Below are 12600 nucleotides of genomic sequence, written 5' to 3'. Positions count from 1 at the left end.
CCTGGATATTGGAAGGACCTTCCCTCCCTGGCCCACCTTGGAGCTCCACAGTGAGCAGTGTGCAGGTAGGACCAGGAGGGGCCGTGCCTGGGAGAGCCTCCCAGAGCCTCCTGGCCCCCGAGGAAAGAGAGTTCCAATCCCTACCCACCTCCAGCTTCCACCCTTTAGCTGTTTGGCTAAAATCATCATCACTAGCCCGCAGTGAGTGCCTACCCCGAGGGCACCTCATTCAGCCCTCACTGCGGGCCTGCGTGGCCTGTGTTCTTAGCCCCATGTTACAGAAGAGGAAACAGGGTTAGAGAGGACTTTCCCAAAGCCACACAGCTTAGAAGTAGTGGAGCTAAGCCTTGAACCCAAGTCTCATCCGGAAGCCCTGCTGTCTCCTGTGGTGACTGGCACGGGGACACCACTTCAGCTTCTGTTACCATCTGCCTAGACCATCCCAGGGAGCTCAGCATGGGGCCCTGCGTATGTGGCTCCTCCAGGTGCTGCGCCCCCAGCCCAGGGCTTGCTCGTACCTCTTGACGTGCATTAGCCGCCTCAGGGCTCAGAGAACCTTTGCGAGGGGCCAGACAGCTAAGGCTTCTGAGGTAAAGTGACCTCTCACGCAGCCAGTGAGTTAGGAAGCATGAGTCTGCGTCAGTCCCGGGTCCGCAGGGCGGCCTGCAAGGGGAGTTGAGGTTGGCTGGAGGGGGTCAGGGACCCACCCTCAGCGCCACTCCCACCCCCGGCCTTGAGGCCTGAGGGTGTGGTGCCTGGAAGGGTGACTGCAGGAGCCAGGCTGCCAGCACTCTTGCCTGCCCTCCTGTCTGCTGCGCTGCCTTCATCTGGGTTTATCTTTGTCTCCTTCCCACCCTCCCCGCCTCAAAGGCGAAGGTGACGGAGGAGTGCTCCCAGTACGAGTTTGAGAACTACATGCGTCAGCAGCTGCTGCTGGCCGAGGAGAAGAGCTCCATCCATGACGCCCGGAGCTGGGTACCCAAGCGGCAGTTCGGCAGCGCACCACCGGTGCGACGGCTGGGCCACGACGCACAGCCCATGACCTCCTTGGACACGGCCATCCTGGCGCAGCGCTACCTGCGGAAATAACAGCCTCAGCCGGGGCCACCAGCACTGCTGCCACTTCTTCCAGCCCCAGCCAAAGGCGTGGCTGTCAGGGCTGGGCCCTGTAGTGCTGGACTCTCCCGGGCCACAATAGGGACAGGGCAGGGACAGGGACAGCCCAGGTCACACGTGGGGTCAGCAGAGGTACCACGAAGCTACCTTTTGGGATGATTGCTCGATTGTTTGGTTTTTAAATCTGAGAAGCCTAGATAACTAATCTGCTTTTAATCACGATGTTTTAATCTACCTCTGTCTCTTTAACCATGCTGTCTCTGGACTGAGCAAGAGGGAGGAGGGAGCCTGCTCACCCCACTCCAGGGCCTTCCCCAGCGGCCACCAACTGACCTGGGGCGCTGCTCCCCACAGTCCAAATAAGCTGAAAGTGCAGCTCGCTGCAGGCCCCAGAGCGAGCTTCCCCTCCTCCCTGCTCTCCCAGGCCCCTGCCACAGCCTCTTTCCGTCCCTCTCTTTCTGATCCAGGCCCCTCAGTCCAAGCTTTGGAAAACCTTCACCTCATCTTAAACCGAACTCAAATATATTTATTTTTTTACCATACCAACTTCTCTCCCATCTCTAGGTGGCTCAGTCCATGGCCACTCCCTGCCCCCAGCCTGGCTGGACAGCAAGGAATCCACAGCCCACACGTGAGCTCCCTCCTCACCCCCAGGCAGGGAAGCCCCTCCTGCCAGTCCCTGTCCCCTTTCAGCCCACCAGTCCCTCTCTGCTGCCGGTGATGGGAGGCCTTTCTAGACCTGGCTCTTTCTCTCCCGTCTCAGTGGCTTCTCTGAGGTGCTGTACACGCGCGTTAACCTGTTCCCTTCTCTATCCTTCCCCGTGGTACTGAGCTCACGTGGACTCCCAGTGCGAAGGGGCCCATGGGTTGGGCTGCAGGCCTGGCCGTGAGCGGGGGCTGCCTGCACGCTCCCCTAGCCTACTCTTGTGTTTAGGGGATGGTGGGAACATATCCCAGTGCCCTTGCCTCATAATAGATGTGGTGACTCTCCCGGTAGACCCTAGCAAGGGTCCTCCATGGTGGTGAGGGACTCAGGAGAATTGTAGGGATTGGGGGACCCTGCCTGCCTGGCTTGAGAACAGCCCTGCTGCCCTTTTGAGCCGAGATTTTGAAGTGGATGCCCGTCTTGCCAGAAATGCTGTTCTCACCAGAATGCCCCCTCCCCTTGCCCTTACTGGACTTGGCCCTGCCTGATGCCAAGCAAAGACCCTTCCCCAGAGGCCTACCCCCCATATGTCCTCAGAGAGGCTGAGTGTCCCCTCCAGGCAGTCATGGGCCCTGAGGCCCCTCCTGCCTGGCCCTGCTCCCCAGTGGGGAGGTGACTGTGTTTCCCAGAGTGTGAGCCGCTCTCCTCCCCCTAAAAAGCTGACTCACTGTGAGTGACCTTGGGCAAGTTCCCAAACCTCCTTGTGCCTCAGTTTCCCCATCTGGAAAAAATGGGGCCACCTCTTGCCAGCAGTAGCAGGGCTGCCCACGCCCCTTTCTCCCCATGCCCCATCCAGCACTTGGGCGACTCATGCCTCTGCCTCAGTGGGCCTGTGGGAGCCTACTGGAGCCCAGCACTTACTCCCCCTGAGCAGCGAGCCTGCGTCTGTCTCAGCTGTCCAGCGCTGAGGGCCAGGGTCTTGTGCTGTGGGGCTGGGGGATGCCCTCTTTTCTATATTTATTTCATAGAAAGTCTCCTGCGGGAGCGGAAATGCAGTCCGGCCTAGGGCTCCCAGCCCTTGACTGTCCTCCTGTGAGGGCCTGAAGCTGGGCCAGGGCCCGTCGCAGCGGAGCCCCCTCTCAGCAGCCCACCGGGTCCCTCCAGGCTGCTGCCCGTGCGTGGTCTTTCTCCTCCTTTTCAAAGCAATAGCCGCCGGGTCTGCAAAGCCCTGTCAGACAGACTGGGCCCTTCCAAGGTCAAGCCATGTGTCTGATGACATTCCTGGTGAAGCAAAGGAGAGGAGGATGGGTCAGCCCTCACTGGGTGTCACACACTGAGAGAAGTCCTATTGTAAAGAAACGGAAAAAGTCACAAAAAAGTTTGTATAAAGACATATTTTTGTACTACATGGGGACTCTTCCTGCATGTCAGCAATAAAACTTCCTGATCTGGAACCACTGTGGCCTGCGTCTCCTGCCTTCTTGCCTTCCCTGCCTACATCTCGGCCTCTCCAGCCCCGACCCAGCCCCATCCCTCTCCATCCCAGCTGAGTGGTGCAGGATTCCCAACTGGCTTCCTGCAGCTCTGAGTGTGCCCCCTCCCTGCTCCCCGCAGCCAGCGGGTGGCACCTGGCACCACTGTCTTGGCGGGGGAGGGGAACCTGAAGTGCCCAGCAGTCTCTTGAGACCTGTGCATCTGCCCACTGCCCAAGTGAGAGCTCCCTGCTTGGCTTGGCTCACCCTCTGACCTTGCATGCAGGAGGCAGCGGGGCATCCCAGCACCACAGCAGCTGAAGGGTATTGATCCTCTCTGCTGAACTCCATCTGGGGTAGGGGAGCCTGCTGCCCCAGACAGACTGCCCATGTGCCCATCCAGGGCAGCCAGGGAAGGAGAAGGCCCAGCCAGGCCTCTTCCTGCTCCACCCTCCCCCTCCCTCTCCTCAATAGGAAGCCAAGGGCTTCCTTCCTTCCTTTCTTTCCTTCCTTCCTTTGCTTAAATTTAGACTTTGGGCCGGGCACGGTGGTTCATGCCTGTCATCCTAGCACTTTGGGAGGCCGAAGCGGGTGGATCATGAGGTCAGGAGTTCAAGACCAGCCTGGCCAAGATGGTGAAACCCTGTCTCTACCAAAAATACAAAAATTAGCCAGGCATGGTGGCAGGTGCCTGTAATCCCAGCTATTCAGGAGGCTGGGGCAGAGAATTGCTTGAACCCGGGAGGTGGAGGTTGCAGTGAGCCGAGATCACGCCACTGCACTCCAAGCCTGGGCAATGGAGTGAGACTCCATCTCAAAAAAGAAAAAAAATTTAGACTTTGCAGATTGCACTTCATTCTAGCAATGAAGCTAGAGGTAGGCTGGCCCCTCCCCCGGCACACCACAGCACCCACGCGGACACACTTCTGTGTCCAGGAGCCCATACCCAGGCCACTCAAGGAACAAGATCTGTGCAGGCAGAGCCCCTTCCCAGTCAAGGGTCCACAGACCAAGAGGGGCACCTCCAAGATGTGAGAAGGCTCTGATCCTCTGCAGTGCTTCAGAGCACAGCCCCAGGCCCCTCACTCCTCCACCTCACAGTTCCACACCTGCCCCAGCAGCCAGCTGTCCAAAGATTTTGCCCATTACATTTGGCCCATGCCTTACCCATCCTGGATGCTCTGCTGGGAGGTGCCCCTGCTCCCAGCCCACCAGTGCCACTCTCAGCTCTGGACCTTGTCTCTATGTTCAGCCTCACTCCTGTCCCGCCACCCATTAAGCCTCTGTTCAGGGCACAGATACCTCCTGGACACCTACACGTGTCACTCTTACATTCAGCAAAACACTAGACAGCAAGCGCCCTACAGGCAGGGGCTTCGTTTTGCTCACCCTTACCTCCTCAGCACCTGGGTCTGGGCCTGTACACTCTGGCACTCCTGAACAGTTTGGTGTATTGATCTAAACTGTTTCTTGGCTGTGAGTTGGTCAATTTAACGAAAACAAAAGTGAACTTCTTGGATCGCTGTTCCTCACAGGTTTCACTATGAGCCCTGTGGCAGCAAAGGAAAAAGAAAGTACCAGAAGGATGGGTGGGACCAGTGCGGCCACACTGACCACTCGCGTGCTCCTGAAAGGTCAAACCAAATGAGAACTGCGAAGCTGGCATCCCCTTTGGCCACCCTGGTCTCCAGTGTCCCTGGGAAGAGCCAGGGACACTGGCTGGACCTGTCAAACTAGCAGAAGTGGAAAGGGAGTGAGGAATGGTCTTGGTGGCTGGATTGTTCAGGCTCTGAAGCCAAGTTGGCCTGACTTTCTCTGTCCCTCCGTCCCTCCTTCCCTCCCTCCCTCTCATCCTTCTCTCTCACACCCCATGTCCAATCCACTGCTACTCCTGTTGGCTGGCCCTACCTTCAGAACACGGGCAGAATCTGACCATTTGTCACAGCTCCACTGCAACCACCCTAAGCCTCCATCTCTGGCCTCCTGGTCTCCCACTCTTCCCCTGCCACAGTCCAGGCACCACGTGGTAGCCAGAGTGAGCCTTTAAAAACCTGACTGTGTCCCTCTTCTGTTTACAACCCTCTGATGGCTTACCCTCCATGCAGGAGAAAATCCAAAGGTCTGTGTGGCTTGTAAGGCTCTACACCATGAGTCTGCACACTTGGGTACCTCCCCACCTTCTCAGCCCTTCACCCCTCACTCTATTCCTGCTGCTTGGGCCCCCTGATCCTGAACAAGCCAAGCATGCTTCCACCGCACGGCCTCTGTGTAAGGTTAGCCGAGAGAAAGGATGAGTAGGCTCAAAGTCAGGTAAGCAATTTTTATTCGTCCTGCCAGGCTGCTCCTTGACAGGCAGAGGAGGCAGCCCCACTTACAGACTGCAGCAGGGCTTTACAGGGCGAGGAACTGGGTCGGGGTGTGTGAACCGAGTTGGGGGTGCAGGTGTCTTGACTGCGTCCTGGAGATAGTTTTGCCAGCTTTGGTTAGCAGGTGTTCTGACCGCATCTTGGAACTGTCTGCCAGTTCAGCTGAAGTCTTCTGGACAAACAGTTACTCTCGAAGGGTCAGTTGTGGCGGGGGGTTTGCCTTTAGCCCTGGGGGAGCTATGCGGAGGTCACAAAGGACTGTATTGTAAGACCTTTGCGAAAGGAGGAGAACAGTCTGGTCGGGGTGACCCTAACATTCCAGCTTTTAATAGTTGATAGAAAAGGGGGCGTTGTTCTCATCAGGCTGCTTCTAGCTGAGAGGGAGCGGTGGTTAGGGGGAGAGGCTGGAAGGTAGGGGTTGGTTTGGGTTCTGGCTTTGAAATTGTTGGTATTCTTGGAGTAGCATCATGTCTTGTATGGTTCTGTGGATGAAGGCTCGGATGCGCTTCTGTAAAAACTGGGTAAAGAGACCGGGCGCCGTGGCTCACGCCTGTAATCCCAACACTTTGGGAGGCCGAGGCAGGTGGATCACGAGGTCAGGAGATCGAGACCATCCTGGCTAACGCGGTGAAGCCCCGTCTCTACTAAATATACAAAAAATTAGCCAGACATAGTGGCGGGCACCTGTAGTCCCAGCTACCTGGGAGGCTGAGGCAGGAGAATGGTGTGAACCCAGGAGGCGGAGCTTGCAGTGGGCAGAGATTGCGCCACTGCACTCCAGCCTGGGTGCCAGAGCGAGACTCTGCCTCAAAAAAATAAAATAAAATAAAATAAATAAAAAATTAAGAAAACACTGGGTAAAGAGACATAAGAGGCAGGACCCAAAGATTAGAAGGAGAATGATTATGACAGGTCCAAGGAGTGGGAGTAGCCAGGAGGCCCAGGAGCTGAAGGGCCATAGGGGCCAGGAGGGCCAGGGGGAAGAACTGTTTTCCCTGATTTTTGAGCCCGGTCCTTTAATTTTTTAACTGCATCTTGAACCAGGCCTGACTGAAATAGAAGCAGCATTCTTCATCTAGGAAGACGCAGATACCTCCTTTTTCTGCGGTAAGTAAATCGAGGCCCCTGCGGCTTTGAAGACCTACTGCGGCTAGGGAGTCTAGTTGGGCCTGGAGGGTTGATACAGTGGATGCTAGGTCATCAGTGTTATCAGAGAGGTCCTTGGATAGGGATTTGTAGTAATAGGTAGAGGTTGCAATTCCTGCGACTCTAGTTCTTGCAGCTGCCATAATGCCTAACCCTATTAGCAGGGGTATAAGCTGTATGGCTCAGCGTCTGCGGGATAATGTTTGAATTTGGAAGGGTAAGGGTCTATCCCCAGGGGCTATGTCTATTTTTGGACTAAGGAAGACTAGCGTGCAGGTTCCTGTCCAGTTAGTGGGTAAGCAGAGCTAGGTGGAAGTGCCACAGAGAAAGAATATGCCCTGGCTAGGAAGGCAAAATTGGAGGTCTTTGGCAAAGAGGGGCTTTAGGATCTTGTTTTCTGATCGCCAAGCGGAGAGAGAGGAAGACAGGGCCGCCCCGGTGAGTGGTTGGAAGGGATGGGTTGAGGTTAGTTGGCTAGCCCTACTGTTTTGTTTTCCCAGTGTAGGAGGAAATATTATGTGTCCACTAAAAGTTTTTCCCCAGTGGGGGCTCTGGCTACCTGAGTTGTGGACAGTTGGAGGCTGGGCGGGGGCTAGGGCATGGAGTCCATCCTGCAATTATCATACAGGGTTTGTGTGGATTGATGCAGAAACCTGAGTTTATTGTGTTGAGATTAGTGGTTTGTATTTTTGGGGGACCAGAAATTTTGAGTATTTGAGTGGGATTGTATACTGTTAGCGGCTGGATACCAGCAGGTGGGCTGAGTTGTAGGGTGTAGTTACATGAGCCGGTGGGGAGAGTGCCTAAAGGGGTTCCTGAGGGAAGGTCGTGCTGTATACAAAGGGGTGCCTGTTGGTCTAATTTGGCATCAGATGTAAGTGTCCCTAAGATAAGTTTGCTCCTGGAGGTGTAGCGGGTGAGGTTGGTTTTATAACTTTTAAGTGCATTTACCCCTCCGAAGCTTCGATAGTGAGGATGGAGTGTCAGGTTGGTAAGGGTCCAATCTTTAAGTGGGACCAGGAAGGCAATTTTTGATGTGGTTTCTGAGGAATGGACACAAAACCAGCAGTTACGTGCGAGGTCAGGATTGGTTTGATTAAGTATTGTGTGTGCCTGTTGGATGGTTCGTTGTAGATGGAGTCGTAGTGAGGAGGAGAAGGGAAGGAGGAGTAAGCAGGCAAAGGATAAGAGTGAAGGTGAAGAAATTGGTCTCACCTGGGCTAAACTCACGAATAGGGCTCTTTGGAAGGTGAGATCAGTTACCCAGTTAAGGAGTGCTGTGAGGGTGGGTTGTTCTGGGTAAGAAAGAGAGTGAAGTGGCAAGACAGGGCAAAGGCAGGACATTTAGGAGGGGCAGTCACTTATTAGTGGCCTTTATTCTGCTATGAGGAGGATTATGAAGCTAGAGTTCCACCCTGGGGGTGTTACAGTATCTCTTCCTACGGCAAAGAGCAGAGTAAGTAAGGCAACTCCTATAAGGGCAGTGCAGTAAATGATTCCCATTAATGAGGGTTTCGATATTTAACAGTAAGGGGTGGTAACTTATCTGTTATGTTTCTTGGCGGAGGGGGTGGGTTGGCGTCTTCTGGGATGGGTGTAAGGCTGAGTCAGGTTGGTCCAAGGAGGGTGCTGGAGTATTTACAGGGAACAGCTGGTTACAGTATTTACAGGGAACAGTCGGTGGCAGGTCAGTTGCAGGAGCCCTTTTTAACCTGGAAAGATGGTACCAAGAGTTACGTCCTGACAGCTTGGCTGCAGTGGGGGTAGTGAGAAGAACTTGGAAAGGGCCTTCCCACTTTGGTTTAAAGTTTGTTGGAGTGACGGTTTTTAGGAAGTATACTCTCCTGGGAGGAGAGTTTGGTCGGCGGGACCTTGGTGGGGTTTTGGGAGGGCCTGGTCAGCTTGCTCGCGGAAGAGATGACGGATGAGGGAGAGTATTGGGAGGTGAGAGTTAGTGGGGGTATGTTTTGTAAGAGGAAAGGGTGTCCATACATTACTTGAAAGGGACTGAGGAAGGAGGGGGCTTTTGGACTGGCTCTGATGCGGGCCAGTGCTATGGGTAAAAGGGAGGTCCGTGGTTTTTTGACTTCAAGAGTGAGTTATTTTGGTTAACTGAGTCTTGAGAATTCCATTTGCCCTTTCGACTTTTCTGGATGACTGGGTTCGGTATGGGATATGGAGGCGCCACTGGATCCCAAGGGACTGGGAGACTTGTTGGGTGATTTGGGAGATAAAGCTAGGGCCATTGTCTGATTGTATGGACCGAGAGAGACCAAGTCTAGGGATGATTTCTGTTATAAGAATTTGAGAGACTTCTGCAGCTTTTTTCGACGGGGTAGGAAATGCTTCTACCCAATCTGAGAAGGTGTCCATGAGGCTAAGAAGATATTTGGGTTTTTTTTGACGGGAGGCATGTGGGTGAAGTCCACTTGCCAGTCCTCCCCTAGAAGTGTTCCTCTGAGCTGATGTGTAGGGATGGAGGGAGAGCGGAAGGCCCCTTGGGAGGAAGTAACAGAGCATATAGGACAGTTTGAGGTTATGTCTCTTAGTGAGGTGAATATACGGGGGGAGGAGAAATAAGGGCGAAAGAGCAGGTACAGGGGGTGCGCACCAATATGGAAGGATTGGTGAAGAGATGTCAGAATTAGGCCGGGCGCGGTGGCTCACGCGGGTAATCCCAGCACTTTGGGAGGCTGAGGCGGGCGGATCACGAGGTCAGGAGATCGAGACCATCCTGGTTAACATGGTGAAACCCGGTCTCTACTAAAAATACAAAAAATTAGCCGAGTGTGGTGGCGGGTGCTTGTGGTCTCAGCTACTTGGCAGGCTGAGGCGGGAGAATGGCGTGAACCTGGGAGGCAGAGGTTGCAGTGAGCCGAGATCGCACCACTGCACTCCAGCCTGGGCGACACAGCAAGACTCCGTCTAAAAAAAAAAAAAAAAAAGTCAGAATTTCCTTGGTCTCCTCTTGGGGGAGGACGAACTCTTGATTTTTGATTAATCCTCTTGAAGGGAGGCTCCTTGCTGTAGTAGTGAAGCCTTTTCGGTGGGAGAGTACTTGGGTTGGGTTGGATTGCTGGGGTAACAAGGAGGAGGGGGGCAGGGACAGAAGAAAGGGAGTCTTCTTTTCCTGCCTTATCGGCCTTTCTGTTATTTCTTGAGATTTCATCTGATCCTGTTTGATGTCCTCAAAAGTGCATAACTCCTGCTTTAGTTGGGAGGTGTGAGGCCTGAAGAAGTTGGTAAATAAGGGGGCCGTTAGTGATGGGGGTTCCTTGGGCAGTAAGGAATCCTCTCTCTTGCCAGATGGCGGCATGAGAATGGAGGATGTGATAGGCATATTTGGAGTCTGTGTAAATGTTGACTCATTTGCCTTTGGAGAGGGTAAGGGGTCTGGTGAGAGCTATGAGATCTGCTTTTTGGGAGGAGGTTCCTAGGGGTAGGGGCTTAGCCTCAATTACTTGGTTTAAGGTAACTACTGCATACCTAGCAATTTTGGGAGAGCCGGTGGCTCCGGAAGAGGAGCCATCTGGGTATAGTTGGTCATTATATTGACCAATAGTTGGTCAATAGGAGGCTCAGAGGAGATGTTAGGGAAGTGTGGTTGCAGGTGGTCTAGAATTTCAGTACAGGAGTGGGAAGGAGGCAAGGAAGATAATGGAATTAGAGATGCGGGGTTAAAGGGGGGAACTTTTGGCAGGACAGAACTCGGGGTTGTCAAGAAATAGGGCATGAAAAAGCTGGATGTGGGACGGGGGAGAATGCTTAATGCTTGGGAGGAAAGGAGGTCTTATAGATTATGTGGACTGTGGATGGTGGTATCTTGACCGAATGTTAGCTTTTTACTTTCTATGGCCAGGGTGGCAGCTGCCGCTAGAGCTCTGAGGCAGGTTGGCCATCCTCAAATGGTATTGTCCAGCTGTTTGGAAAGCTAGGCTATGGGGGCAAAAGATGGAGGACTTCGTTCTGGTTGGCCAAGTATGCCAAGGGCTATTCCTTGGCTTTCAGTTGTGTAGAGGGTGAAGGGCTGGGAAATATCAGGCAAACATAGGGCTGGAGCGATTATAAGGGCGGTTTTAAGTTTGTGGAAGCTAGGGGCTATGTTGTCGTAGGGATTTAGGTGCTCCTTTAGGGGGCCTTTGGCTGCTTCATAGAGGGGGTGAGCTAAGAGGGCAAAGTTGAGGATCCATATTCTGAAAAAGCCTGCTAGCCCTCGGAAGGAAAGAATTTCACTTTTTGAGGAACATGGAGATAGGTTGCCCATTAAGGCTGCTCATGCTGGGGTCATGGCTTGGGACCCGGTAGAGAGTTGAACTTCTAGGTAGGTCACACTAGGGGTGGAAAGCTGTGCTTTGGATGGGGACACTCTATAGCCTTTAACAGCAAGAAAATTGAGAAAGGTGGCAGTGTGGACATGGGAGTCTTTTAGGGAGCAGCTGCAGAGAAGGAGGTCATCTACATACTGGAGAAGGAGGCTGGGGGATAGGTTTAACGAGGCAAGGTCTTGGGGTAGGGCTTGCCCAAAGAAATGGGGGCTATCCTTGAAGCCTTGCTTGAAGATCATTAGCATGTGCCTGAGATGTGAGCCACACTTTTTCCTTCTCTTCTGGGAAGATAGTGGAAGAGAGGACAATATAGAGATCATGCCAAGTGAGTTCTTAAGATTGGGTAAGGTATTTGAAGTCTTTAATATAAGTGTCGGGATTGGAGGAAAACGACCCGAGATGTTTTTCAATTTGGGAAAGGTCAGAGAGGGAGAAGGGAACGTGGACACGAATGATTCCTTCAACTCTGGCAACCTCTCGGAGGGGAAGTATGGAGACTGGTTGTTGGACGTGCTCAGTTCGAGAGCGGGTATGAGGTGGAGAGATGGGGAGGAATCAGATTCAGAAGCTGGGTGGTTAGAGAGGGGAGGGGAAAGAGATAAGGCAGGAGCGGGAGTGTATGGTGGAGGATCGTGATGATCTGATGGAGGATTATGATGTTGCCAGGGAGGTGGAAAGCCGGCGGGGTCAAAGGAGGAGTTGTCGCTTGCTGTGAAGGGGGGGTCTGCTGAGAGTAAATTGGGCTTAGAGCGGGTGAGGAGGATTTGGAAATCGGAGAAGGATTGGCAAAGTGAAGAGCGGTTACAGAGGGTGACGAAAGCCTGAACATAAGGAATTTCAGACCATTTTCCATCGCAATGGCAAAAATTGTCTAAGTCCCTGAGTATATTGAAATAGAAAGTACCATTTTCAAGCCACTGGGAGCCTATGTCTAATTTATATTGTGGCCAAGCCGTATCACAATAGAAAATAAGCCTCTTGGGACAAACTTTTGCACAAAAACTGAGAGTCTCAAGGTTGCACAAGTGACCCCAGGGGGGTTGCTTTAGACAGAGTAGATTGATAGGCTCCCATGGTGAATGGAGGAGATGGTTGAGGAAGGAGAGAGACTGCCGGTGGCAAGGACCGGGGGAGAGGACGTCCCCAGTCCTGTGGGCCTTGTTTAGTATACAGAAGGCAACCACCCAGTCAGGCGTCCCTGAAACAGAGGAGTCGGAGGCCTAGAGGCCGGAGGGAGCCCTTGGCCCAGCACTGGGTCTTTTGGGAAGACAGAGACGGTCAAGGGTCCCGGGTAGATGGCAAGGGTCTCTCTTACTCACCCCTTTGCAGACTATAGTGATGGATGAAGTCACCAACAATGGGAGGGTCCCAGAAGTCCTCTGGGTCTTTGGCAGGTTTGGGAAGGGGGAGTTCAGCCAAGGGAAGTGGGGGTGGTGGTTAGGAAAGAGAGAGAAAGGGAGGCCGAACTCTACCACCTTCCTGGGTTTTGGCACCAAAATAAAAGGTTAGCCAAGAGAAACGACGAGTAG

The 12600-nt window shown here is 53.5% G+C and overlaps 1 protein-coding gene across 3 annotated transcripts in view; it reads left to right on the top strand.

Annotated features, from left to right (window-relative positions):
- Positions 1-3216, top strand: part of STK40 (serine/threonine kinase 40) — a 46297-nt gene extending 43081 nt beyond the window's left edge. For all 3 annotated transcript variants that reach the window (NM_001282547.2, NM_001282546.2, NM_032017.3), the window contains one exon: positions 871-3216. In NM_001282547.2, coding sequence (NP_001269476.1) covers positions 871-1089 — 219 coding nt within the window. In that variant the 3' untranslated portion in view covers positions 1090-3216. The remainder of the gene's footprint in view (positions 1-870) is intronic.
- Positions 3217-12600: the final 9384 nt, after the last annotated feature.

The sequence above is a fragment of the Homo sapiens genome, chromosome 1 (genome assembly GCF_000001405.40).
Source record: "Homo sapiens chromosome 1, GRCh38.p14 Primary Assembly".
NCBI classification, from domain to species: Eukaryota; Metazoa; Chordata; class Mammalia; order Primates; family Hominidae; genus Homo; species Homo sapiens.
This window is presented reverse-complemented; position numbering and strand designations above follow the sequence as displayed.